The sequence below is a fragment of the Homo sapiens genome, chromosome 12 (genome assembly GCF_000001405.40).
Source record: "Homo sapiens chromosome 12, GRCh38.p14 Primary Assembly".
NCBI classification, from domain to species: domain Eukaryota; kingdom Metazoa; phylum Chordata; class Mammalia; order Primates; family Hominidae; genus Homo; species Homo sapiens.
Window position 1 is genome coordinate 584,738 of NC_000012.12, and position 26,952 is coordinate 611,689.

At 46.9% G+C, this 26,952-nt stretch overlaps 1 protein-coding gene, 1 long non-coding RNA gene and 1 pseudogene across 6 annotated transcripts in view, besides 3 other annotated features; all 3 read right to left on the reverse strand.

The window, feature by feature from the left end:
* Positions 1-26,952, reverse strand: part of NINJ2 (ninjurin 2) — a 99,150-nt gene that overhangs the window by 20,442 nt on the left and 51,756 nt on the right. Inside the window, exon 1 of one of the 5 annotated variants that reach the window (NM_001294345.2) lies at positions 25,609-25,679. The exons of the other annotated variants lie outside the window; for them this stretch is intronic. Within the exon in view, the coding sequence (NP_001281274.1) occupies positions 25,609-25,620 (12 nt within the window). The 5' untranslated portion in view covers positions 25,621-25,679. Of the gene's footprint in view, positions 1-25,608; positions 25,680-26,952 lie in introns of those variants that run through there. 5 annotated transcript variants of the gene reach the window in all.
* Positions 961-1,749, reverse strand: LOC105369595 (uncharacterized). The gene is made up of 2 exons (NR_134624.1): positions 1,511-1,749; positions 961-1,261 (listed from the first exon to the last, which is right to left on the reverse strand). It is a non-coding gene; the product is annotated as an uncharacterized LOC105369595 (long non-coding RNA).
* Positions 4,796-4,851, reverse strand: RNU7-103P (RNA, U7 small nuclear 103 pseudogene; annotated as a pseudogene).
* Positions 23,906-24,423: an enhancer, noted in NCBI's record as "H3K27ac-H3K4me1 hESC enhancer chr12:717809-718326 (GRCh37/hg19 assembly coordinates)". NCBI's record gives its function as "activates a minimal SCP1, AML or CMV promoter by ChIP-STARR-seq in naive H9 embryonic stem cells {active_cell/tissue: H9 hESC(naive)}" and the evidence as "EXISTENCE:reporter gene assay evidence [ECO:0000049][PMID:30033119]".
* Positions 24,424-24,940: an enhancer, noted in NCBI's record as "H3K27ac-H3K4me1 hESC enhancer chr12:718327-718843 (GRCh37/hg19 assembly coordinates)". NCBI's record gives its function as "activates a minimal SCP1, AML or CMV promoter by ChIP-STARR-seq in naive H9 embryonic stem cells {active_cell/tissue: H9 hESC(naive)}" and the evidence as "EXISTENCE:reporter gene assay evidence [ECO:0000049][PMID:30033119]".
* Positions 25,194-25,695: an enhancer, noted in NCBI's record as "H3K4me1 hESC enhancer chr12:719097-719598 (GRCh37/hg19 assembly coordinates)". NCBI's record gives its function as "activates a minimal SCP1, AML or CMV promoter by ChIP-STARR-seq in naive H9 embryonic stem cells {active_cell/tissue: H9 hESC(naive)}" and the evidence as "EXISTENCE:reporter gene assay evidence [ECO:0000049][PMID:30033119]".

A 26,952-nucleotide genomic window follows, 5' to 3' on the forward strand; every position in this document is an offset into this window, starting at 1 on the left:
GGAGGTTGCAGTGAGCCGAGATTGCGCCACTGCACTTCAGACTGGGGGATGGAGTGAGACGTCTCTCAAAACAAAAACAAAAACAAAAATTTAATTAAAAATAAAAGCAGGCTAGGGGCGCGCTCACACCCGTAATCCCAGCACTTTGGGAGGTGGAGGCGGGTGGATCAGGAGTTCGAGACCAGCCTGGCCAATATGGTGAAACCCCGTCTCTACTAAAAATAAAAGAAAATTAGCTGGGCGTGGTGGCGGGCCCCTGTAGTCCCACCTACTTGGGAGGCTGAGGCAGGAGAATCACTTGAACCGGGGAGGCGGAGGTTGAAGTGGGCTGAGATCGCGCCACTGCGCTCCAGCCTGGGAGACAGAGCGAGACTCCGTCTCAATAAACACATAAATAAAAGCAAATCCTTCTTTTCGCTAAGGCTGCATTTCCACCGCCATGAAATGGAGGCTGTCTCTGCAGTGACCTTCACCTGCCGCCAGCGGTTCTCTCCCCGCCATTCACTGGGCTCTGGGGGCTCTGGGCTTCCCTGCTGCAAGCTCTTAACCCTTAGCGTGAGCAGATGGTAGAACTGCCCATGCCAAGAGGGGTCCATACCAACTTCCGGAATAAACGAGGCCAAAGGGAAAGAGTAGGTTCGCCGGGGACAATCCCACACCAGGAAGCCCCACGATTCAACAGCACCACCCAGGATTTCAGTGTCAGTCCTATCCTCATCAGGCAGGCAACGGTTGGAGGAAGGGAACGGTTGGAGGGAAGGGAAGGGAACGGTTGGAGGGAAGGGAAGGGAACGGTTGGAGGGAAGGGAAGGGAACGGTTGGAGGGAAGGGAGGCTGAGCACAGGCACGGTCACGCTGTGTTGCACCCTGGCCTGCTCTGCGGATGAGTCAGCAGCATCGATTAAGCACCCACTGTGTGCAATGTCCTGAACTCTGTGCTGAGATGATAGCTCTGTTTGCTTTCCAGCCAATCAGCAAATATTTATTGAGCATCTGTCTATTTGGGGCAAGTCAGAGTACAGAGGGCATGGCTTAGAAAGGAATAGCTCAGACGGAGTTTGTGATTAATTACGGGAATGGGTGCCAAGTGAGAGATACAAAGGGTGGAAGAGCAGGAGCGCCTCCATCCAGGGGCGTGGAGGAGGCTCTGTGGATCTCAGGGCCATCTCAGCTGGCTCCAGACAGACAAGAAGACTCCTTCAGTGTTCTTCTGGTAATCACAGAAGCTCTGCGCTGGGAACCAGTACCCTAACAGAGGAGACTGGTAAAAGGTTTCCAGATGAGCATTAATGTAACCCACAGTAATTTGCATGGCCCAGTAAAAAGGAACATATGGGGCCCCTCGTTCAAGTTGATTAAGGGTGAGCCTCAGGAATGAAGTCTAAAACAGGAAAAAAGAAAAAAAGACTCGGAATTTCAAGATGGCAAAAGCAGAGAATTAGACCAAATGCAGGACCCTTCTCAGCACAGGGCCCTCCTGAGCAGATCCTGGGAAGCTGGCCCAGCCTACCTGGAAGAGCAGGAGATAAGAACTTGGGATTTCTGGTGACCAGGAGGATCACAGGCCTTGGGAAAGCCAGTGGCTGCTTCATTATTTCCATCCCGGGTCAAGTTCGGCCTCCAGAAGGTGAGATGGCCCAGCCAGATCTGGCTCTGTCCTTAGCCCTTCCCTCTGGTGGCCTGCCACTCTCAGATGATGGTGTCAACAAGACCAGAGGCTGCTGGCTCTTTTCTCAAAAGCCAGGACCAGGGAACAGCGCAAAATACAAAGGCCAACGCCTTCACTGGAGGAAGGGGTGGGAGCTGCTTCTCCCTGGGCAGCGCACGCCCACTCAAAGGCATCCAACCTCAAAGTGCATAAGCTCCCATCCGCCCACAGGGCATGCGTTTCGGCCCTATGTCCAACCTTCCCGTTTTACAAATCAGGACACAGAACCATCGGGGCAAGGGACCTCTCCAAGGCAACAGAACTGGGCAGTGCTGAAACTGGGACAAAGGCTTCTGTGACTCCCACCAGGGTCCTTTCCCCAACAGCCAGGTGCCTTTCTGTGCCCTCTGACTGGATCGTAGGGATCCAGGTGTGGGGATCCCTCTGCAGTGACCTTCACCTTCGGGGCCCTGCTCCCATGAGAATCACTGTTGCCCACGGGGGACGCCATTCACTGGGCTCTGGTATTGTGGAATGGAGTTGAAGTTTGGATGGAAGAGCTCACTGTCCCCTCTGCAGGCCTTTAACCCTTAGTGTGAGCAGATGGTAGAACCCCTGCCAGTGCCAAGAGGGGTTCATACCAATATCTGGGATAAACAAGGCCAAAGGGAAAGCGTAGGCTCCCCAAGCACAGTTTCTTTTCTTGCTACTAAACACCTGTGGGAGGAGGAGGCTCAGCCCTTCCTGTGGAGCATCTCTGCCAGGGTTCAATAGTATTGGACTAGAGTCCTGATCTGGGTCAACAAAAAGACTAGGGGACCAGGAGGCAAGAGTCAGCTCACCAGGACGGGCTGCAAACGGGGAGGTCTGCATCCAGGGTGAAGCTGCCCCTCCACAGGAAGCAGGCCCAGGAACCCCTGGCAATGCAGACAGGCTGAACCCACAGCACAGCCCCCATGGCGGGAGCAACTCCCGGTCAAGCGGCGGCAGGAAGTGCCCCAAAGGTGTCCACTTTTATTGTGCAGGACAGAATGTCTGCACATGCACCATCTTACAGAATTTGCACAGCTGCCTAAGGACAGAAGCTGAGGCTGCATTGTAAGGACACGCAAAGGGAGCCCCAGAGGACTGAAGTCCCTTTCTTAGGGCTCCTCAGGCTCTCTGACCAGTGAAGTTCTACAGCTGGGAGGGGAGCTGGGCTTTCCTAGTCTTGGCCCGATGCTTGTGGTCTGGCCTCTGACCACTCTCCATCTCACCCTGCCCAGCGCTGAGCCATTCTTCCCTGCCCCGGGGCCTCTGTGCAGGTGGGGGGTGGGGGTGGCCAGGGACCCTGCGCCTCACAGGCAGGTCACCAGGATCTGTAGAGCAGATTGAACACCCCATCCCCCGTGTTTGAAATGCCCTCTGGGCCCTTCCTCGCCGTCCACCCAGGAAGCTCTTCCTTCCATTAAGCTGGTTATTTCCACCACAGGGCCTTGGTGACACCTCTCACCTGATCACTATCCGTTCTCTCACTGGACGGTGAACTCCTTCAGGGTAGGAGCCGTAGTATGAGGCTGGCACTTACTGATAACTAGTAGTTGTTTTATCCATGAAGGGAGGGGACGACCTACACAGGCCTACACTTTAGGCATGACACGACAGCCAACATAGTCCCCAGACCAGTGTATCATCCTTCCACTATGTAAACACAGATAGGTTTCCCCTTGAAAAAAATTCCCACTATGTGAAAAGCCAAATCAATTTACAAGACAGCAAAATGGCGGAAGGAAGGGAAGGGACGGAAGGGACGGAAGGGACGGAAGGGACGGAGGGGACGGAAGGGACGGAGGGGACGGAAGGGACAGAAGGGAGGGAAGGGAGGAGGAGACATCTTGCAAATGGACTCCCCGCAGACTCCTTCAAATAGTCCCCTTTGTGAATCTCTTTCTAATCTTAGAATGAGGAAAACCTTTATAACTATGACATCAAATCCGGAAGCCATAAAGGATTAATACATTTGACTGCATAAAATTAAAATTATTTGAATGCAAAATAATAATAGCATATACACTTATAGCGCTCATTTCATGTCAAACCCTGCACAGAACACTTTATATATCTGAAGTCGTGTCATTCTCATAACAATCCCTGGGATAAGTACTGTCCTTATCTAAGGGACTCTGAGGTTAAGTAACTAAACTATGGTCATTCAGCCAGTAAGTTACAGACAAAACCCAGTAGCCTGCCTTCAGAGTGTGTGCTCCAGCCATTTCCTCGACCACCACACACCACACAAAATCAGGAGACAAAGAGAAACGGGGGGAACACTGCTGCACAGAGCACAAAGGACTGATTATCCTGAAGTCTGTGGAGGCCTTAAAAATGAGCCAACAGAAAAACTGAGTACAAACAAGCAAGCCCCTGAAGAAACATCACAAATCTGTGTAATAGATATGATAGCCTACATGATTGGCGAAGACTTAAGAGACTGATAATACTCAGTGTTGGTGAAGACATGGCTAAGCAAGCACTTTCACGTCCTTGGTAGAAATGTAAATTACTACCAAACGTACCAGAATTGTTACAATCATTTTTTTTTGGAGGACAATCTGACAATTATCTATTAAAATTTAAAATAGTCTTACCTAGTAAGTCCACTTCTAGGAGTCTCCCACAGAATAAGTCTCCCACAGAAAATGCTCCCCAAAGCTCAAAAAGACAAGCTATTCCATGCATCATTATTGATAATGTCAAAAACTGGGAATGAGCCAAATTGTAATCAAGGGTGTGTGGGCTAAATAAGCTGGCCTACAACCACACAATTAAATACTACATGTGTCTTTGAAAAGAGAGAGGTGTTCTTGTTCAATCAGTAAAAAACAATGGACAAAATGAAACAAAACAAAAAGAATGAGGTAGATCCCTATGATTAGATACAGAAGATATCTAAAATGTATTTAGTGGGGAGCAAGTCAGTAAGAACATGATATGATTCTATATTGGTAAAAATGAAACAAAGTATTCAGAGGATCTACTTTATATTTCAATGCATTAGAATAAGCACAGGAAACAGATATGGGAGGAATTTCTATCACACTAAAGACTTTCCCTTTCTTTCTAAGTTATGTATTTTCCCAATTGTAGGTTGTTTTCTCATGGGAGTTTGGTTTCAGTAAAAACCAGAGAACCTGCTAGACAAATTCTAGAAGAGCTCTAACACTTCCACTTCTAATTTTTCACACCTAAGACATCATCCTGTTACAATCAGGAAAAATATAATAAAGATGAAATTAAATATGCGATAAATAGCAAAAAACACCTTCCCTGTTTCTTTCTTTCTTCTACAAGCATGTGCTGGGTATGCCTCCTGAGTCCTAGGCACTGATGTCTCAGGCTGGGCATGCAGAGACGAATCCATATGGCTCCTGCTCTCAAGAAACTTCTGGAAGGGGGGAAACAGTTGGTAAATTTAGGGGGGGATTGTCTCCTGGACTCAGTTTTCCTCCGTGGGGTGAGGCAGATGGGCTGCTGTGGCAGCCGTCTCAGAGAGGGCGGGGTCTCCCTGTCAGGACCCAAGGGGTCCTAGGGTACAGGTGGAAGGCAGAGGTGGAGCGGTGTGGGGCAGCGGATCAGGGAGGGGCTGATGAGGCACTTAGGCTTTGTCCTGAGGGCAGCAGGGAGCAGTAGGAAGGTTATCCGCAGCCAGTGGCATCCTTAGAGCAGCGTCTTATTTTTTATTTTCGTTATTTTCTGTAGAGACGGTGTCTTGCTATATTGCACAGGCTGGTCTGGAATCCTGGTCCCAAACAAGTGGTCCTCCTGCCTCAGCCTCCCAATGTGCTGTAGCAGCATTTTAGCAGGACCATGATGGAAGCGGCTCGAAGGATGGGCTGGAGCGGAGAGCCACGCGCGGGAGCCCTGCTGGAGGTCTGCAGCACAGCATTGGCAGTGGGTATAAAAATGGGACTGCCCCAAGAGAGGGTGAGGAAACAGAACTGGCAGGACTGGGTGAGCGATTGGATGCTGAGGGTGGGGAAAGGGAGGGGTGGAAGACGACACCCTGTGCCTCTGGCTGGGTGGCAACTTTGTGCCTTCATAGTCTAAAAACGCACCCTCAGCGTTGCAGCCCCAATAGGACTCAGTTGATGAACAACTTTCCAGGAACGTGGCTCTTGTGTGAAAGGGGCACCTGCGGGAACCTGCACAGATGCAGCTGCCTGGTGGGATTACAGCAGTCCGCCCAGCCACTGCCCAGGGCGCCTGGAAGCCTGTCAAGGGCATAGTCCTTTGTGGCTGATGCTTACAGCTGATCAGAACCCAGGACACTAGCACTTACTATCAAGGTTATAGGGAGGCTGATGCTTACAGCTGATCAGAACCCAGGACACTAGCACTTACTATCAAGGTTATAGGGAGGCTGATGCTTACAGCTGATCAGAACCCAGGACACTAGCACTTACTATCAAGGTTACTGGGAGGCTGATGCTTACAGCTGATCAGAACCCAGGACACTAGCACTTACTATCAAGGTTATAGGGAGGCTGATGCTTACAGCTGATCAGAACCCAGGACACTAGCACTTACTATCAAGGTTACTGGGAGGCTGATGCTTACAGCTGATCAGAACCCAGGACACTAGCACTTACTATCAAGGTTATAGGGAGGCTGATGCTTACAGCTGATCAGAATCCAGGACACTAGCACTCACTATCAAGGTTATAGGGAGGTGGCAGAGAAAAGAAGTTCAGCGAGAGTGGTGCCTCTTTTCAAAATGGTATGACAGTCCCTAGGTTCTCTGGCTCCTGTTTCTGGATTCAGTGCTGTGAGGGCCTCTCACCATCATGTGGTCTGTGTGAACCAACCATCAGGGCAGTTTAGGTACTGCAGGGTGTTGGGGCCCCAGTCCTTAGCAGGGTTCAAGCAGCGGGTGCCATGCCTAGATCTTACAATTCCCGGCAGCATCTCCCTTCACCTCCTGCTTGCTGAGAGCACTTTGGTGGGCAGAAATAGCCCTGTCACTCATGCCCAGCTGCACACACGTCAACAACCTGGGGCTGTGCGCTCTCCTGATGCAAGGTCCTTTCTGCTAGTCATGACTACTAAGACCTGCTGCCCAGGACTGAGTGCTGATTCACCTACTAGGTTGGTCAGAGGGTTGGGGGCAACTCTGATTGCAGAAGCTCTCTGGATGGGCAGTGCTAGCGGAGTTCCATAGAGCTGGTCTTAAAAGCAGGGGCCTTTTGGCTGAGCTCCGAGTCCCTGGAGGGACAGTGTCTGCTGTGAACAGATGTCACGGAGGGAGCAGTGCAGTGTCACCAGTCTGGCTTCTCGCCCCAGGTCCCTTGGGCACGTCTTATCTTATCGTGCAGCTGGGCTGGGGGTGCTGCCAGACTTTGTGGGAGCTGGCTGCAAGGGCCAAGGGTGTTTCTTTAGAGATATTTCTCAGGTTCTGGGCCTCATTAGAACAGGAAAGCCTTCTGAAAGAGTGACGTGGCCGGCGGCAGGTATGGTGTGTGACTTAACTAGTCAATTTTGAGCAAACAGAGGCCCCCAGGCGTTTTTCCCGGGTCACTCCCTTTGCCCCTCCTGCTCTGCTCATCCTTCCAACTGCTCCTTTAGCCTGAAGGCCTGGAGCCCCAGCCGCCAGGCTGTAGCCAAACGCATATCTTGTTTGCATTCTCGGTGAACTTACCATTAATCTGTGACAGATGAAAAATAGGAACTTTGAAGCCAGAATGGGGTCAAGTCTGGCTTTACTGCCTGCTGCTAGGTGACCTTGAACAAGCTAAGTTGTCTGAGCCATAGTGTCCCCAAGTGCAAAATGGGATAAAAGATAGTCCCTACCTCACTGGGCTGCTGCGACAACAGTAGGGCACACATAAAACAGTTAGGTGTCTCCTAGATAACATGAGGGAGTCATCGTCATTGCCGGAGGGATTCAGAGTGGACCCGTCACGGTACATTCTTGTGAATATCCAACAAACAGGTGTTGAACAAATGGAGAAAGATATTAGACACAGATTACGAAGAAACAGAATAACTAGCTTCTCTGGCCAGGAGCGGTGGCTCACTCCTGTAATCCCAGCACTTTGGGAAGTCGAGGCTGGCGGATCACTTGAGGTTAGGAGTTCAAGACCAGCCTGGCCAACGTGGTGAAACCCCGTCTTTACTGAAAATACAAAATTAGCCGGGCGAGGTGGCGCATGCCTGTAATCCCAGCTACTTGGGAGGCTGAGGCAGGAGAATCGCTTGAACCCAGGAGGTGGAGGTTGCAGTGAGCCAAGATTGTGCCATTGCCCTCCAGCCTGGGCACCAAAAGAAAAACTCCATCTCAAAATTTAAAAAAAAATCAATTACAAATTATTTGGTTAGTTGTAAGAAGCAGAACATACTAAGGAATGTAGTCCAAGTCCAAGCTCTGTTCAGGGATAAATACTGTCATTATAAAAATTAGTGAAAATAAGCCAACTGAAATTCATCTCAGAAAAGTTATGAAAAGACAATAAAACACACCTTAGGAAAACAGCAAGGAAGAACAAAATTAAGATAATTACAGAAATTTGTGAGTTACAAGGCTATCAGTAGATTGAGTAAATGAAACTATGGAATGGATTTTTTTAAAGAAAAGTAAAATAAATCCTTTCCCTAAAAATGCAATCAAGAAAAAAACAGGGAAAAAAAATGAACAGACAAAAGTAGAGTGGATACAGATGTTATAAATATAGTAGGAAAGAAGATTTTTTAATGGAAAAAATCCAGAAATCTATGTTAAATATAGGAACCATTCTCAATTTATTAGGTTCACTGCAATACTAACTGGGTGTAATGACTACATTGTTCATTTGGTAAAGTATTAAAGCACAATTACTAAGAACTCTTAGGGGAAGAAAAGAATAAGAAGGCAAGAATTTCCCTGCAATACATCAACATTTACTACTCAGTCAACTTTGAAACAGATCTGAAAACCTAGCGATTGTTAAAGAAGCATCACAGGCAGGGCGCAGTGGCTCATGCCTGTGATGAAGCTCCCAGCTTCATCAGAAATTTGTGAGTTACAAGGATATCAGTAGATGAAGCTCCCATCTTCATCACAGCTTCCCAGCACTGTGGGACGCTGAGGTAGGAGGATCACTTAAGCCCAGGAGGTTGAGACTAGCCTGGGCAACAGGGCAAAACCCTGTCTCTACAAAAAATAAAATTAGCCAGGCGTGGTGGTGCAGGCCTGTAGTTCCAGCTACTCAAGAGGCTGAGGTGGGAGGAGCGCTTGAGCCCAGGAGGTTGAGGCTGCAGTGAACCGTGAGTGTGCCACTGCCTCCAGCCTGGATGACAGAGTGAGACCCTGTCTCAAAAAGGAGGAGGAGGAGCAGAAGGAGGAGGAGGAAGAGGATGAGGAGAAGGAGGAAGAGGAGGAGGAAGTGGAAGAATAAGAGGAAGAAAGAAAAGAAGAAGAAGAAGCAGCAGCAGCAACAGCAGCAGCATCACCAACTTATCAGGGAAGGGGGCAAATTATTTATCAAATAAATTACAAATAGCTTAAATAAAAGTAAAAAAGAAATGATAGAGGGAAACTTCCTCAACTTGATAAAGAATATCTACAAAAAACCTGTGGCTAACATCACACTTAATGGTAAAAAACTAAGAGCTTTTCCACGAAGACAGGGAACAAGGCAAGACATCCCCTCTCACCACTCCCTTTCAACATCATACTGGAACTCCAGGCTAACGCAATAAGATGAGAAAAAAATGTATACAGATTGGGAAGAAAGAAACAAGATTGCCTTTGTTCACAGATGACAAGATTGTCTATGTAGAAAATTGAAAATAATAAAGAAAATCGAAAATAATAAAGAAAATCCCTGGAACTAATAAGCAAGTATTACAAGGTTGCAGGATACAAGGTTAATATAAAAAAGTCCATTGTTTTCCTATAGATCATCAATGAATAAGTGGAATCTGAAATTAAATACACAATGCCATTACATTAGTCCTCAAAAAATCAACTACTCATGTACTCCATAAATATGTACAGATATTATGTATCAATAAAAATGAACTACTTACATATAAATCTAACAAAATAATTACAAGATCTATGTGAGGAAAACTACAAAACTCTGATGAAAGAAACCAAAGAACTGGGCCAGGTGCTGTGGCTCATGACTGTAATTCCAACACTTTGGGAGGCGAAGGTGGGTGAATCACTTGAGTCCGGGAGTTCACAACCACCCTGGGCAATATAGCAAGATCCCATCTCAATTTTTTTTAAAAAACAAAAACAAAACAAAAAAAAGGAAGAAAAGGAAGAAACAAAACAACTGAATAAATAGAGAGCTATTCTATGTTCATGAATAGAAAGACTCAATATTTGTCAAGACATCGGTTCTTCCTAACTTGATCTATAGATTCAATGCAATCCCAATCAAAATCCCAGCAAGTTATTTTGTAGATATCAACAAACCGATTCTAAAGTTTACATAGAGAGGCAAAAGATGTAGAATAGCCAACTCAATATTAAAGGAAAAAAATAAAGTCAGAGGACTGACACCACCCGACTTCAAGACTTATTTAATACAAAGCTACAGTAATCAACACAGTGTGATATTATCAAAAGGATAGACAAGTAGATCAATGGAACAGAATATAGAGTCCAGAAATAGACCCACATAAATAGAGTCAACTGATCTTTGACAAAGGAGCACAGATAATACAATGTAGCAAAGATACTCTTTTCAACTAATTGTGCTGTAATAACTGGACATCCACATGCAAAAAGAAAAAAAAAAGAATCTAGACACAGACCTACACGCTTCGCAAAAGTTAACTCAAAATGGATCATAGATCTGCATGTAAAACACAAAACTATAAAACTCCTGGACAGTAGCATAGGAGGAAATCTAGATGATGTAACGTAACATAGGATAGGATGACACAGGATTTCCATCCTAGGTTATTGTTATGTCATAACAATATGACTTTTTATATACAACACTAAATGCAAAATTCATGAAAGAAATAATTGATAAACTGGACTTTATTAAATTAAATGCCTCTGCTCTGTAAAAGACAATGTGAAGAGAATCAGAAGATAAGCCACAGACTGGGAGTAAATATTTGCAAAAAATATTGGCCAGGCGTGGTGGCTCACGACTGTAATCCCAGCACTTTGGGAGGCCAAGGCGGGTGGATCACCTGAGGTTGGAAGTTCAAGACCAGTCTGGCCAACTAAAAATACAAAATTAGCCGGGCGTGTTGGTGCATGCCTGTAATCCCAGTTACTCGGGAGGCTGAGGCAGGAGAATGGCTTGAACCCGGGAGGCGGAGGTTGCGGTGAGCCAAGATCATGCCATTGCACTCCAGCCTGGGCAACAAGAGTTAAACTCCGTCTTAGGGGGAAAAAAAAAACACTTTTGATAAAGGACAGTTATTTAAAATATGTAAATTCTTAGACTTTTAAAATTCAACAATCAGAATATGAACCTGATTTGAAAAAATAGGCCAAAGACGTCTTCACAGACACCTCATCAATGAAGACATAAAATGGCAAGTAAGTATATAAAAAGATGTCCACATGATACGTCATCAGGAAAGTGCATATTAAAACAACAATTTGATGAGAATGGCCAAAATCCAGAACACTGACAATACCAAATGCTGCAAGGATGTGGAACAACATCCTTGTTCATTGCTGGTGGGAATGCAAAATGGTACAGCCACTTTGGAACACAGTTCGGCAATTTCTTTCAAAATTCAACATACTCTTCCATACGATCCAGCAACCACGCTCCTTGGGATTTTCCCAAAAGAACTCAAAACTTACGTTCACACAAAAATCTGCACATGGATGTTTACGGAAGCTTTATATATAACTGCCAAAACTTGGAAGCTACCAAAATGAAAATACTCTGTATGAGGGTATGATGGTGGAAATACATCATTATGCATTTGTCCAAAACTGTAGAACATACAACAGCAGGAGTGAACTCTGTGTAAACGATAGATGTTGCGTGATAATGATGTGTCAACGCAGCTTCATTAGCTGCAACAAATGGACCCCTCTGCTGGGGGATGTTGATAATGGGGGCGGCTGTGCGTATGTAGGGACAGGAGGCATATGGGGAGTTTCTGTACCTTCCTCCCAATTTCGCTATGAATTTCGCTGTGAATTTTACTCTAAAAAAATAAAGTTTAAAAAGAAAGAAACAAACAAACAATAAAACCAAAGACAAGATAGTGACTCAATGGAGAAGAATTTTCCAAATATAAAAAAGTGGCAAGCTGAGTGCGGTGGCTCACACCTATAATCCCAGCACTTTGGGAGGTTGAAGCAGGGGCATCCCTGGAGGCCAGGAGTTGGAGACCAGCCTGGGGGACATGGCAAAATCCTGTCTCTACCAAAAATACAAAAAATTAGCCGGGCGTGGCGGCGTGTGCCTGTAGTCCCAGCTACAGGAGGCTGAGGTGGGAGGATCACTTGAGCCCAGGAAGTCGAGGTTGCAGTGAGCCATTATTGCACCATCCCACTCCAGCCTGGACGATGAGAGTGAGACCCTGTCTCAAAAAAAAAACAAAAAAAAATGGCAGAATTCACAGTCGAAAAGATAAATAAACATAAAAAAGTTAAGCTTCTGTCACATGAAAAACTTGTTAAAATTAAAAGTCACGTCATAACTATTACAAATTTATACCCTAAACCAAATAACACACCTATTAAGTACAATTATGATCCCAGTTTTCTAAAATAAAACAAAATGCCTTAATCTACAAAGGGGAAAAATGGAAGGCGAAACACTACGTGGTTGGTAGTTGTAGGCTGTGGGTTTCCGGGTGATGGCTGGTTCCACCATCTGTGTGACCTTGTGCAAGTCAGTTCCCCCTTCTGTGCCTCAGTCTCCCCATGTGTAGCATGAAAATGATAATGGCACCTTCCTGACAGGGTTGCTATGAGCACTACCTGGGTTACTGCGTGTAAAGTACTTGTAAGAGTGTGCGGCACTCAATAAATCTCAGTGTTGCTATTATTATACGTTTTCTTACAGATGGGCTTTTGAGATTTCCACTGTTTACCCAGGATACTAAGGGTTGTACTAAGAACATGGTGACACAGGAGAACATAGTCTGACATGGACAGACTTAAAGATTATAAGGAACAAACAAGTGAAAATAGGTCAGACAAATCAAAGAGTAAGGGCAGCACATATTATTCATGTTACATAAAACCAAGGAGCTGTTCCTTGTATATGATGAATTGAAGAAGTCTCGAAGACATTGCGTCTTGAGGCAAAGTAGGGCCAAGTGAAATTTCCACTTCTCTTGCCATTGGCCAAGAACATTTCATGGAGGAGATAGAATCTCAGAAGCTGAAGAAGAGGCGAATGTATTAGTGGGAGTTACCATTAACAATGAACACCAAGAAGTGTCGCAGGAGCCTGCACCTCGGCAGTGCAGCCAACTCTGCACTGAAGGTGTGGAGGGTCTGGGGCATTGTTGCTTTTGGGGAATGCTGGGCTATTACAGGCCAGAGGGCCCAGAGGCCTTTGCCTTGTTGAAGCCCTCTAGTATAATGCTGGACCCTTCTGGTTTAAAGGAACATTTATTATCACTAGTAAGATTTTTCTTTGTAGCTCTGGGCTAATTTATGTAGGTAGGAGGTCCCCTGCGGAGAAAGCTTGGTCTCTCGTATATAAACACAAGCATCTGCAGATAAGTTTCCTGTAAGGAAATGAGCTTGTTAACGGGTGGGAAAGGGAAGAACTGCTCACTCACACAATCGTGTATAATGTGTGTGTATGCGTGTGTGTCTGTGTATAGATATGTACAGACAGCACTTTGCCAACACCCTGTTTCTGGTATGCGCAAGGATGTTTCCATACTTGGCTGCTTCACAGGTGTTTTCACTGACCTCCCCCTGGGCACCGAGGGGGTAAGTGCGGATCTACGTTCAGCAGGTAGCTGTGTCCACAGCTCCATTCCGCCCCCACCCTCCTCCTTGCCCTCCCTCTGCCCAGAGGGAGGAAACTGGCAGTGAATTCCAGAGAGGACTGGAGAGGGCTGCCCGAGCTTGCCCATCTTACCAGACAGGGCTATGTCTAAGGTGTGAGTGCTGTGGACCTGGCCATAGGCCACTTTCGAAGGAGCTCACCCGTGACTCAGCTTGGGCTGTGAGAAATGAGGAGAAAGGGGGGGAGACATTTAAAACATGGTCATCAATTCAATCTAATTAGAGTCATTTGAGGTCCACCTAATAGACACCAAACTGTTAACAGCAATTATCTTTGGCCGATAGAATTAAGGAAAATTTTAATCCTGTTTAATATTATTTTCTACAATATTTTAATTTTAACTTTTTTTTTGAGACAGGATCTTTCTTTGTCATCCAGGCTGCAGTTCAGTGGCACAATCACGGCTCACTGGAGCCCCGACTTCCTGGGCTCTAGCGATCCTCCCACCTCAGCTTCCCAAGTACCTGGGACCACAGATGTGCACCACCACACCCGGCTAGTTTTCATATTTTTGGTAAGGACGGGGTTTCACCATGTTGGCCAGGCTGGTCTCGAACTCCTGGGCTCAAGTGATCCACCTGCCTCGGCCTCCCAAAGTGCTGGGATTACAGGCGTGAGTCACTGCGCCCAGCCTACAATGCTTGTATTTTTGTTACAAGGATGTATTTCTTGTACCAGCCGAAAAAGAGAGAAATATTGAAATAAATAAAGCACAAATTTGGAAAGTATTCCAGGCCGGGTGAGGTGGATCATGGCTGTAATCCCAGCACTTTGGGAGGCCGAGGCGGATGGATCACCTGAGGTCAGGAGTTCGAGACCAGCTTGGCCAACATGGAGAAACCTTGTCTCTACTAAAAATACCAAAAAACTAGCCAGGTGTGGTGGCAGGCGCCTGTAATCCCAGCTACTTGCGGGGCTGAGGCAGGAGAATTTCTTGAACGCGGGAGGCGGAGGTTGCAGTGAGCCGAGATTGCGCCGTCGCACTACAAGACAGAGACTTCATCTCAAAAAAAGTATTCCTCCCCCCGCCCCAGTTAATTTGTCAGTGGATAAGAAATGAGAATGACGAAGCTAAATCTTAGACATTTGAGGGGGTCATAGCCCCCAAGAAAAGGGTGAGTGTCCTAGCTACAGCACAAGCCATCACACGTTGAGCAGCGTGTAAGACCTCACAACATGATCTCTGCAACATCCTACAAGGGGGTATTATCCCCCCATTTACTGGTGAGAAAACAACTCAGAGAGGTTAAGAGACTTATCAGGATGCCACCCATGTTCGTGGCTTCATTGGAATTTGAACCCTGACTTGCCTCAGTAGAGTTGGGAGATTAGGACCACTCAGTCCCAGCAAGTCTGGAAGTGCGGAGGCCCTCCCAGCCCCACGACTGCGCTTGGCCTACTGCCTCTCCTCCTCAGCTTGGTTGGACCTGCACCCCAGCACGCCCGGGGGGCTCACATTCCTCCCCGAGATGCCGCCACTGATTCACCATGGTGCCAGTGTCCCATTGCCCGTCTCGGGCACAGGAGTAGCCGTGCACTCAGGATACCTCTGATGCCAAGGTTTGAGCAGCTCTGGCCCAGCCCGCCTCCTTCTGCCCAGCTGCCAGGGCCCCGATACTCAGCCCTCCCCTGCCTGGTTTCTGAGTCTGAGGAATGTGCCCAGAAGCAAATTGGCGCTGAGATTCACATTTACTCCTTTACTCCTTCCGAACGCCTGAGCCACTGGGGGGTCTTGGCTACTTCCAAGCTTCAATTCCTCGGGGCTGAATTTCTCAGTGATCTTGGGAGGTCCTTGCAGCTGAGTCCTTCTGGGAGACATGCAATGAAGGTGGTCAAGGCTATGAGGGGAAAAGGTGGTCAAGATAACGAGGGAAATGGAGCTAGAGGCTTTACAAAATGGGTGGGGGCCAGGTGCGGTGGCTTAGGCCTGTAATCCTAACACTTTGGGAGGCCGAGGTGGCAGAATGCCTGAGCTCAGGAGTTAGAGACCAGCCTGTGCAACATGGTGAAACCCCATCTCTACTAAAATACAAAAAAAGTTAGCCGGGCATGGGTGATGCACACCTGTAGTCCCAGCTACTCAGGAGGCTGAGGCGGGAGAATCACTTGAACCTGGGAGGCGGAGGTTGCAGTGAGCTGAGATCGAGCCACTGCACTCCAGCCTGGCAACAGAGGGAGACTCCATCTCAAAAAATAAATAAATAATAAAATTAAATTAAAAAGGGTGGAGTGGAGAAACAGTTTGAAATTAGACGGATGGCAAGGCGGGTGGCAGAATTTTTTTGGGGTGTGTGTGTGTGTGTGTGTGTGTGTGTGTGTGTGTGTGTGTGTGTTTTGAGACAGTCTCCCTCTGCTGCCCAGGCTGGAGTGCATGGTGTCATCATAGCTCACGGCAACCTTGACCTCCCGAGCTCAGGCAATCCTCCCACCTCGGCCTCCAAAAGTGCTGGGATTACAAGCATGAGCCACCATGCCTGGCCCAGAATTGTTGTAAGTTTCTTTTTTTCTATTTGTTAGGGTTGTTCTAGTATTTATGTAATTTAAAAAAATCAATCTTGAGTTTTCAAAGGGTGAAAACAAGATATGTAGAAATCTATCTGAACTCTCAATAGTTAAAACACTCCCAATTCCTTTGGTAGGGAGATCTCTGTCCTTTGAAAACAGGTCCACCTTGACCAGAAGACTTACTATTTAGTTCTCACCTCCCTGTGATTTGCTCTCTCCTGCATTTGCAGAACTGGCAGAGCATTGTGAATGCTCAGAATTTGTGGAATAAATGCATGAACTGGGTTTGCATCCTCATTTAGAATGCATGTAACTAGGTAGCTGCTTTTTGTATTATTTACTATGAATTTAAAAATATATCTTTTTAAAAATTAACTTTAAAAAAATAAAACAGGCCGGGCGCAGTGGCTCACGCCTGTAATCCCAGCACTTTGGGAGGCTGAGGCGGGCGGATCAGGAAGTCAGGAGATCGAGACCATCCTGGCTAACACAGTGAAACCCCGTCTCTACTAAAAATACAAAAAAAATTAGCCAGGCGTGGTGGCGGGCGCCTGTAGTCCCAGCTACAGGGGAGGCTGAGGCAGGAGAATGGTGTGAACCTGGGAGGCGGAGCTTACAGTGAGCCAAGATCAGGCCACTGCACTCCAGCCTGGGCCACAGAAGCAAGACTCCGTCTCAAAAAAAAAAAAAAATAAATAAATAAAACAAATAGCCAGGTGCGGTGGCTCACGCCTGTAATCCCAGCACTTTGGGAGGCCAAGGCAGGTGGTTCACCTCAGGTCAGGAGTTTGAGACCAGCCTGGCCAACATGGCAAAACCCCATCTCTACTAAAAATACAAAAAAATTATCTGGGTGTGGTGGCGGGTGCCTGTAATCCCAGCTACTCGGGAGGCTGAGGCAGGAGAATCACTTGAACCTGGGAGGCGGAGGTTGCAGTGAACCAAGATCATGCCAAGGTGGCAGTGAGCCAAGATCAGCCTGAGCGATAGAGTGCGACTCTGTGTCAAAAAAATAAATAAATAAAATAAAATGATTTCCATGGGAATAAGAGAGTAGAGTCTGACCCAGTTTATTATCTGTCTGACTTGATACACACCATTTTAAGGTACTGACATCCCCAGATGAAGCCAGTAGCAATCCCTTAATTAAATAACTATTCAATTAAGAACAGCTGTGTCACTTCAGACGCAATGTCCCGTGTGGTGATGACTGAGGAACCCCATGCATAAGGTACGCTGGAGGCTTCCACACTCAATGGGGATGACACTGGAGAACTGCAGACTGAGCCATAATCCACACACCACACAATTCACCTATTTAAAGTGTACGGTTCAGTGGCTTTTAGTATTTACAGAGTTGTGCAAACATCATCACAATCCATTCTAGAACATTTTCATCATCCCCAAAAGAAACCCAGTGCCCATCCCTTCCTTATCCCCAGCCCCAGCCTAGGCAACTACTAATCTACTTTCTGTCTGTATCGATTTTGGATAGTTCCTGTCAGTGGGATCACATACTCTGTGGTCCTTTGTGTTGTTCATTTAGCATAATGTTTTCAAAGTTCATTCATGCTGTAGCATGTTTCAGTACTTCGTTTCTTTTTATCATTGAATAGATATTTCATTGGATATACATTTTGCTTATACATTCCTCAGCTGATAGGAATTTGAGTTGTTTCCACCTTTTCACTATTATAAATAATGCTGCTGTGCACATTGGTTCATTGTGTGAATGTATATACCTAGGAGTGGAGTTAATTGCTGGGTCATACCGTACCTCTGTGATTAGCTTTTTGAGGAACTGCCAGACTGCTTTCCAAAGTGGCTGCACCATTTTGCATTCCAGCCAGTAAAGTAGGAGATTCCAGTTTCTCCTCATCCTTACCAATACTTGCTATTACCTGCTTTTTTGAAAATAACAGTCCCCTAATGAGTGTAAAGTGCTGTCTCATTGTGGGTTTTCTTTTGCTTTATTTTTTGAGACAGGGTCTCACTCTGTTGCCCAGGCTGGAGTGCAGTGGTGCCATCATGGCTAACTGAAGCCTGGACCTCCTGAGCTCAAGTGATCCTCCCACCCCAACCTCTTGACTAGTTAGAGCTACAGGCACATGGCCACCATGCAAGCTAATTTTTAATTTTTTTTTTTGTAGAGATGAGATCTCACTATGTTGCCCAGGCTGGTCTTGAACTACTGGGCTCAAGCAATCCTTCTGCTTCCACCTCCAAAAGTGCTAGGATTTCAAGCATGAGCCACCACACTGGGCCTGTTTGCGGTTTTGAGTTTATATTTTCTTGCTGGCTAATGATGTTAAACATCTTTTCATGTGCTTATTGGCCATTTGTATATTTTCTTTGGAAAAATGTTTATTCAGCTCATTTGCCCTAAAATTTGATTATTTGTCTTTTTATTATAAAGTTGTAAGAGTGCTTTATATATTCTGTATACAAGTCCCTTATAAGATATATGATTTGTAAATATCTCTCCCATTATCTGGATTCTCTTTTCACTTCCTTGATGGTGCCATTTGAAACGCAACCTTTTTTAATATTCATGAAGCCCAATTTATTTTTCCTCTGTTACAGTGCTTTTGGTGTCATATCTAAGAAGGCTTTCCTGCATGACGGTTTACTTACATTTTGTTCTAAGAATTTTAGATTTTAGCTTTTACATTTAAGTCTATGATCCATTTTGAATTAATTTTTGCACATGGTATGAGGTAAGAGTCCAACTTTATTCTTTTCCATGTGGACATCCAGTTATCCCAGCACCATTTGTTGAAAAGACTATTCTTTTTCTTTTTTTTTTTGAGACGGAGTCTCAGCCTGTCACCCAGGCTGGAGTATAGTGGTGCAATCTTGGCTCAGTGCAACCTCTGCCTCCCAGGTTCAAGTGATCCTCCTGCCTCAACCCCCTGAGTAGCTGGGACTACAGGCACGCACCATCACACCTGGCTAATTTTTGTATTTTTAATAGAGACGGGGTTTTGCCATCTTGGCCAGTCTGGTTTCGAACTCCTGACCTCAAGTGATCTGCCTGCCTCAGCCTCCCAAAGTGCTGGGACTACAGGCATGAGTCACTGCGCCTGGCCAAAAAGACCATTCTTTCCCCCGCTGAGTCGTCATAGAATTGGTGTATATGTCTGTCCTTACGCCAGCATCACACTGACTTGATTACTGTAGCTTTGTAGTAAGTTTTCCTGTTGGGACGCGTGAGTCCTCCAGCCTTCTTTTTCAAGATCATTTGAGCTATTCTGGGTTCCTTGAAATTCCGCACAGTTCTAGGATCAGCTCTGCAAAGTCTGCTGGGGTTTTGATGGGAACCGCATTAAATCTGTAGACCAATTTGGGGAGTATCGCTATCTTAACAACAGTAAAGGGATTTTTTAAAGTATAAGCTGCGAGGACAAAATAGACTGGAAGAGGAAATAAGTAGAACGAGGAGTAGTAAATGAATGTCTTGGCCGAGCAATAGAGGCCACAGCCTGGCCGGGTGCGGTGGCTCACGCCTGTAATCCCAGCACTTTGGGAGGCTGAGGCGGGCGGATCACTTGAGGTCAGGAGTTCGAGACGAGCCTGGTCAACATGGTGAAACCCCGTCTCTACTAAAAATACAAAAATTAGCCGGGCGTGGTGGTGGGCACCTGTAATCCCAGCTACTCGGGAGGCTGAGGCACGAGAATCGCTTGAACCTGGGAGGCGGAGGCTGCAGTGAGCTGAGATGGCGCCACTGCTCTCCAGCCTGGGCGACAGAGCGAGACTCAGTCCCAACAACAACAACAATAGCAAAAAAAGCCACAGCCTGATGCTTGCAGGAAGGAACCAACAGGATACGAGGAATCCAGGAAGGCACTGGGTGTGGGGACACAAGTGCAAGGGAGGTAGGGACGAGGTACAGACCTGAGATGGAGGACGGGCTGAAAGTCTACTTACAGAGCAGTTCAACCCTCCGACTCCTTCACCACCCCTCAAAGCCTGTTGACAGATCCTCCCCAAGGCAAGTGACCAGAGGTTTGTTATTTTCCAGAGCAGTGCTCTTGCGGTGTGGTCCAGGAACTGGTTTAGGTCCACAAACTGTTAGTGGCCCCAGTAAGATAAGTACAGGAAGCAAGAATATGTGTTTAGGATTTTCACGGAAATTTGACGTTGCCTCAGCACTCAGTGTGTGATCAGTGGGTTCTCCTGGCTGAAGGATAGAGGCCAGTTTGGATGTCTGAACTCCCAGAGTGAGGCATGTGCCGTGTGAGATGCGGCCTACTCATGCCCAGCAGGACCACGTACATGTCCCTGACAGAATGGGAGTTTCAAAACTCCGCCTTCCCCACAGATAGTCTGCAAAGTGCTGCTCTAGAGGCTGGCAGGCTCGGCTGTGCATCATGGGGAGAGGGTTGAGGCAACTGCTGAAAATCTGCATTCAGAACACTGGGACACCCAGCTGTCCTCCCACTTTCATTCCTGAAAACTGGCAACTAGGCTTATACCCTTCCCCAACACCTATCCCCAGACAGAAGTCCAGATGATTCCTATCGGAAAAGACTACCTTGGGGCTGGGAATAGCGCATGTGCCTGTAGTCCCAGCTATTTGGGAGGCTGAGGCCGGAGGATCGCTTGAGCCCAGGAGTTCGAAGCTGCAGTGAGCTGTGATTGCACCACTGCGCTCCAGCCGGAGAGACAGAGCAAGACAAAAATAAAAAATAAAAGAGATGACATAATCTAGAGAGACAACATTAAGACACTGACATCTGGAGTCCACTCAGCAAAGAAGCTAACACCCACCCTACATTTCTGCATTGAAGCTCCCCAGCAAACAAGCCCTACCCATGCAGATAAAGCTTCACATAACCTGGAAGATGAGGGGTTTTGGGGTTTGTTTTTCGAATGGGTTCTATATTAATATGGTTCGGAACTCAAAAGATTCAAAAGGTACAATGAAAAGGTCCACTTTGTCCTTCACAACTTAGCTCTCCTTCCAGTAAGCTTTTTGGTGCCTCACTGTTTAATATACACAGAAAGCCTACATGAAAGATGGAGACCAAAATAAAGAAATAAGAGAAGAGACAGAGAGAATGTAGGGAGCAGAAGAAAAGTGCAAAAAAGGAAAAGAATAACATCTGCAGAGAAAAAAGAGAAGCTATTCCATCAATGTAATAAGAACTGTGTCTTATTTTAGTTTATTTATTATTTTTAAAAATTATTAATAGAGATGTTGCCCAGGCTTGTCTAGAACTCCTGGCCTCAAGCCATCTGCCTGCCTCAGCCTCCCAAAGTGCTGGGATTACAGGCATGAGCCACCTTGCCCAGCCAATATTCTATTTCAAAAAGGAATATTCGGAAACCAAAGAAAAGAGAACTCTTGGAAACTAAAAATATGAAATTAAAAATATAAAAATTAAAAATTCAACTTAAGATAGAGAAACGTTTATAAAATCTCATAGAAAGTAGAACAAAAAGATGATAGAGATAAAAAATTAGATACAAAAGACAAAACTAAAGGATCACATCAGAAGATCCAACATCCTAACACTGAGAGTTCAAGATGGGCTGAACAAAGAAAAGAGAAAGGCAAAAATTATTAAATAAACAATTCAGATGTTTTTTCTAGAGCAGAAAACATCAATTTTGGGGTCAAAAGGACTTACCAAGTGCCCTATATAATGAATGAGGAACAACTCACCCCAAGCCACATCATTGTCAGCTTTTGGAACTGGAGGTCAGAAGGAATCTAACAACTTCCAGACATGAGCTCCAGAGGACAGAGGAGTGAAATGGCACTCGATGTCACAGCAGCCACACTAGAAGCTACAATTCTATACTCAACCCACTAGCAATTGCGGGAAGACGGTTTAGGTAAGTTAGTCCACAAAAATTGTCCTTCCTTTGCTCACTTTCTTAGGGAGTTACTGGAAGGTGTGCGCCACCAAAATCAAGGAAGAAGACAAGGAACCCACAGGACTGTGGGCCGAGTTGCTTTGGCACTAAGCAGAACAGAGGGGAAAGGAAGAAAGAGTGGAGCAAAAGAAGGGAGGGAGAGAGGACGACGCTTTGAACTGGGTGCATGGAGAAAGCAGTCAGGAGACCAAGAGGTTCCTCCTGGCATTTGAATCCCCGGCCCCAACTCTTCCGGAGGCCCGGCTGCAATCCTGTCCTTTGGCTTTGTGAGACACCAGATACCCTTGTAATAAATTCCACTTCTTATTTAACTAGTTCACATTGCATTTCAGTCACTTGCAACCAAAAAATTTCTCCTGATATATTGCTACTCAAGGTATTAGAACCTGGGAGCTTGCTGGAAATGCAGAACCTCAGGCCTCCCCCAGATCTACTCAACCAGAATCTGCATTTTAGCAGGATTCCCAGGTGACTTACAGCCACATCAGAGTCTGAGAAGCACTGTCCTGATATATCCACCTTGCAAGGTAGGGTGGCGAGCATATTAGGGATAATAGGTAAAATATTTGACTACATAGTAGGTACTCTGTAAGGGATGATGATGATGATGATGATGATGATGACGACTGGAGTAGAAATACTTCGGAATTACAATCTCAGAAAGAGTTCCTGGGACCATGGCAAATGGTGGCTTTGCACCAAATTACAAAAGCAAGCACACAACCAAAAAGACAGAAAGCGCAATATCCCAAGAAACAGGTTCAGCTCTACTCCAGGAGCCTGTTGGGTTACTCAGCCCAGGTGTTGACATAGGAAAGCCATTAAGAAAACCCTTCTCAGGTGTGGCCATTGGCTGTGAGTGAGTGATTGACAGTCAGATCCGGTATGATGCTTGGCTGGGGGAATGCTGAGCTAATGCCACCTTTCTCAGTAGAGCAAGCATTCTGCCCCAGCACTCAGGAAGTAGGTCAGGAGGAGATATCCTGTGTGAGCAGCTCCAAATTGCTTTTTCAGGCAGAAACCTGTGGCCCACAGGACTGGGGGTGGAAGGGGAATGGGGATGAGAGGAGGCTGGGGGCCTGCTGCGGGGTGGAGATAGGAAATCACGTCCTCATTCTTGGCAGGAGCAAAGTTGCCTGTCACATAGTTTTCCTGGCTCCAGTCCTTTGGCCATCAGCCACCGTCTTTGTGCTGGGGGTTCCGTTGACTTTCCAGTGCAAGCCAATTTGATGGAAGCTGGGGCTTAAAAGGAAATGTGCGCTTGTAGGAGCTGGTGTTCCATCTGGGCCCTCGGTGTGCTGTGGATGGATGGAGGATGAGTATCCAAGGTCTGGATCTTCCCTAGGAGCTAGCGGTCATTGTTTTCGAATTGTCCACCAATTACGTGGCACTGTACTCAACCCTTAAGAGTCTTTACCAAGCACACCAGCCCTCCAAGAATTTATATGCTAGAGTCCCCAGTCCTTTAGACTATCTTTAGGAATCTTATCCTATTCAGCAACAACAAACTCTACCATCATCCAACGGCCGTCCTTGTGAAGGCTGACCATAGTAATCAACTCTGCAGCCACCACTACAGCAATAAAAGCCTAATGTTACCCTTGAATAATAGCGAACACTTAATAATGTGCTTATTACCGGCCTGGCACTTTTCTAAGTACATATTTTAATTCATCTACTTCTCACAGCAACTTCATGAGGTCAAATACAATTGCAGTCCTCATTTTACAGATGAGAAAGCTGAGACATAAATGAGACATTAAATGAGATTACACAACTAGCAAATGGCAGAACTGGGAGTCAAACCCAGGCAATCTGGCTCCAGAGCTCCTGCCCTTTAGCCGCTGTACCCAAGCCGTGACACAGGGACAGCCTGGTGGGCAAGGGTCAGCCACAGTCCTCCTGCTAGCTAATCCCATCTCAGCCCTCACTAGCTAGCTGGCTTCAGCTAAATATGAATAACTCAGCAATGTGGTGAGGTGCAAGAGCTGAGGTGTCAGAGGAAAAGATCTGGATTCTACGTCCTGATGCTGCCACCTGGAAAAGAAGGACACTGATGCTGACTGAATGCAGAGCACGTATCAGGTCCATGTTTAATCTTCCCAGCTAGCCTGTGTGACCTGAGGCAAGTCACTGTCCCTCTCTGGGTCTCTGTTTTCTAATGTGGAAAGTGGACCAGGTGCTTTCTGGGTTGTTGTTGTTTAATTCAATCTAGGCAACACTCGCTCACAGAAGAATTCATGCACATACACGGCGCCACGCTAGGGGCTGTACGCACGCACGGCGCCACGCGCTAGGGGCTGAACGCACACGCACGGCGCCACGCTAGGGGCTGAACGCACGCACGGCGCCACGCGCTAGGTGCTGAACGCGCACGCACGGCGCCACGCTAGGGGCTGTACGCGCACGCACGGCGCCACGCGCTAGGTGCTGAACGCACACGCACGGCGCCACGCGCTAGGGGCTGAACGCGCACGCACGGCGCCACGCTAGGGGCTGTACGCACGCACGGCGCCACGCGCTAGGTGCTGAACGCACACGCACGGCGCCACGCGCTAGGTGCTGAACGCACACGCACGGCGCCACGCTAGGTGCTGAAGGGGCCGCAAAGATGAGTAAAATGCAGAGCGGGCCTTCGCAAGGCTCACAGCCCAATTCTCTTTTCCATTTTGTAGTCCTTGTGAGCTGAGCAAGGCATTATCATCCTTTTATTTAAAACAATAGGGGAAACACCGGGCGCGGTGGCTCACGCCTGTAATCCCAGCACTTTGGGAGGCTGAGGCGGGTGGATCACGAGGTCAGGAGATCGAGACCATCCTGGTTAACATGGTGAAACCCCGTCTCTACTAAAAATACAAAAAAAATTAGCCGGGCGTGGTGGCGGGCGCCTGTAGTCCCAGCTACTCAGGAGGGTGAGGCAGGAGAATGGCGTGAACCCGGGAGGCGGAGCTTGCAGTGAGCTGAGATTGCACCACTGCACTCCAGCCTGGGCAACAGAGTGAGACTCTGCCTCAAAAAAAAAAAAAAAAATAGGGAAAACAACAACAGCAGCAATAGGGGACTTGTCCCAGCTACTGAGGAGGCTCAGGCAGGAGGATTGTTTGAGCCTAGGAGGTCTAGGCTGCAGTGAGTCATGATGGCACCACTGCACTCCAGCCTGGGCGACAGAGTGGCAAGACCCTGTCTTAAAAAAAAAAAAAAAAAAAGACGAAGGAGAGAAATAATGTTTGACCATGGAAGGTCACACATTTTTGTTGTAGCTAGAGCATGATCCAAGTCGATTCTGAGTCTGGGCCTCTTTCCACTCCCAGCTGTCCTACTAGCCTAATTCATCTGGCATCACTGGGGCCAAAAGCTACAAAGTCCATTTTGAGCTCTAACTTTGCAGAGTCATTTCCATCCTCCTGCCTTCCCCATCCTGACAAGTGCACATGCACACACACATTGCCAGACACCCAGCAGACACAGAATCAATGCTTTTGCGTGAGTGAAACAGCCCCTCTGGCAGCCCTCTTCACCTGCCCAGTCCCCAGTGCCCAGCACCCAGTGCTGAGCTGGTGAAGATCCCGTGGCCAGAGGCACACTTACCATATACATCATGACTCAGATCCCATTTGCTGACTTGGAACTGAAGCCTCTTGCCCCACCAAGCAATTACTGGAGAACAGGAAGTCTCAACGGAAAATGAGGTCAGCCTGGTGGCTGAGAGGAAAAGGGTCAGCGAGCACAGCCTTCTGCCCCCGTGGGTCCCCACAGCGGCCAGCCCAGGGCCCTGCATGCAGCAGATGCCCACCACAGCTTCACTGGTGGGTTAGCTGCTCTGAGCGACTCTGTTCAGCCCAGCCACAGGAGGGGGTTACCAGGCAGGGACTTAATATGTGGCTCTAGAGTCTGAAGGAGACAACTTCAACTCAACCTTGTTTAGCAGAACTGGGCTATGACAAGGACAACCACAGCACTGGAAATCTATTCTTTTTTTTTTTTTTTTTTTTTGAGACGGAGTTTCGCTCTTGTTGCCCAGGCTGGAGTGCAATGGTGCAATCTCGGCTCACTGCAACCTCTGCCCTCCAGGTTCCAGTGATTCTCCTGCCTCAGCCTCCCAAGTAGCTGGGATTACAGGCACCCACCACCATACCTGGCTAATTTTTTGTCTTTTTAGTAGAGACGGGGTTTCACCATGTTGGCCAGGCTGGTCTCAAACTCCTGACCTCAGGTGATCCACTTGCCTCAACCTCCCAAAATGCTGGGATTACAGGCATAAGCCACGGCACCTAGGCTGGACATCTATTCTTTAAAGAACTCTGTGTTACCAAATTCAGTTCTGCAATCTGTCCCAAGAACTTCCTTTTCTGTGCCCTAAGTTACGATAGAGGAAGAGGCACATCAACCCCAGGCCTGCCTGCCTTTCTTTCTTTCCTTCTTTTCTTTCCTCCTTTTCTTTCTTTTTCTTTCCCTCTTTCTTTCTTTCTTTTTCTTTCTTTCTTTCTTTCTCTCTCTCTCTTTCTTTCTTTCTTTCTCTCTCTCTTTCTTTCTCTTCCTTCCTTCCTTTCTTTCTCTCTCTCTCTCTTTCTTTCTTTTCTTCTTTCTTTCTTCCTTCTTTCTTTTTGTCTTGCTCTGTCACCCAGGCTGGAGTGCAGTGGCACGATCTTGGCTCATTACAACCACCACCTCCTGGGTTTACGCAATTCTCCTGCTTCAGCCTCCTGCATAGCTCAGATTGCAAGGGCACACCACCACACCCAGCTAATTTTTGTATTTTTAGTAGAGACAGGGTTTCACCATGTTGGCCAGGCTGGTCTCGAACTCCTGACCTCAAGTGATCTGCCTGCCTCAGCCTCCCAAAGTTGGGATTATAGGCATGAGCCACTGTGCCCGGCTCCCAGGGCTTTCTTGAAGTGGCATAAAAGTAAGAAAGGATTTTAGAAATCATTT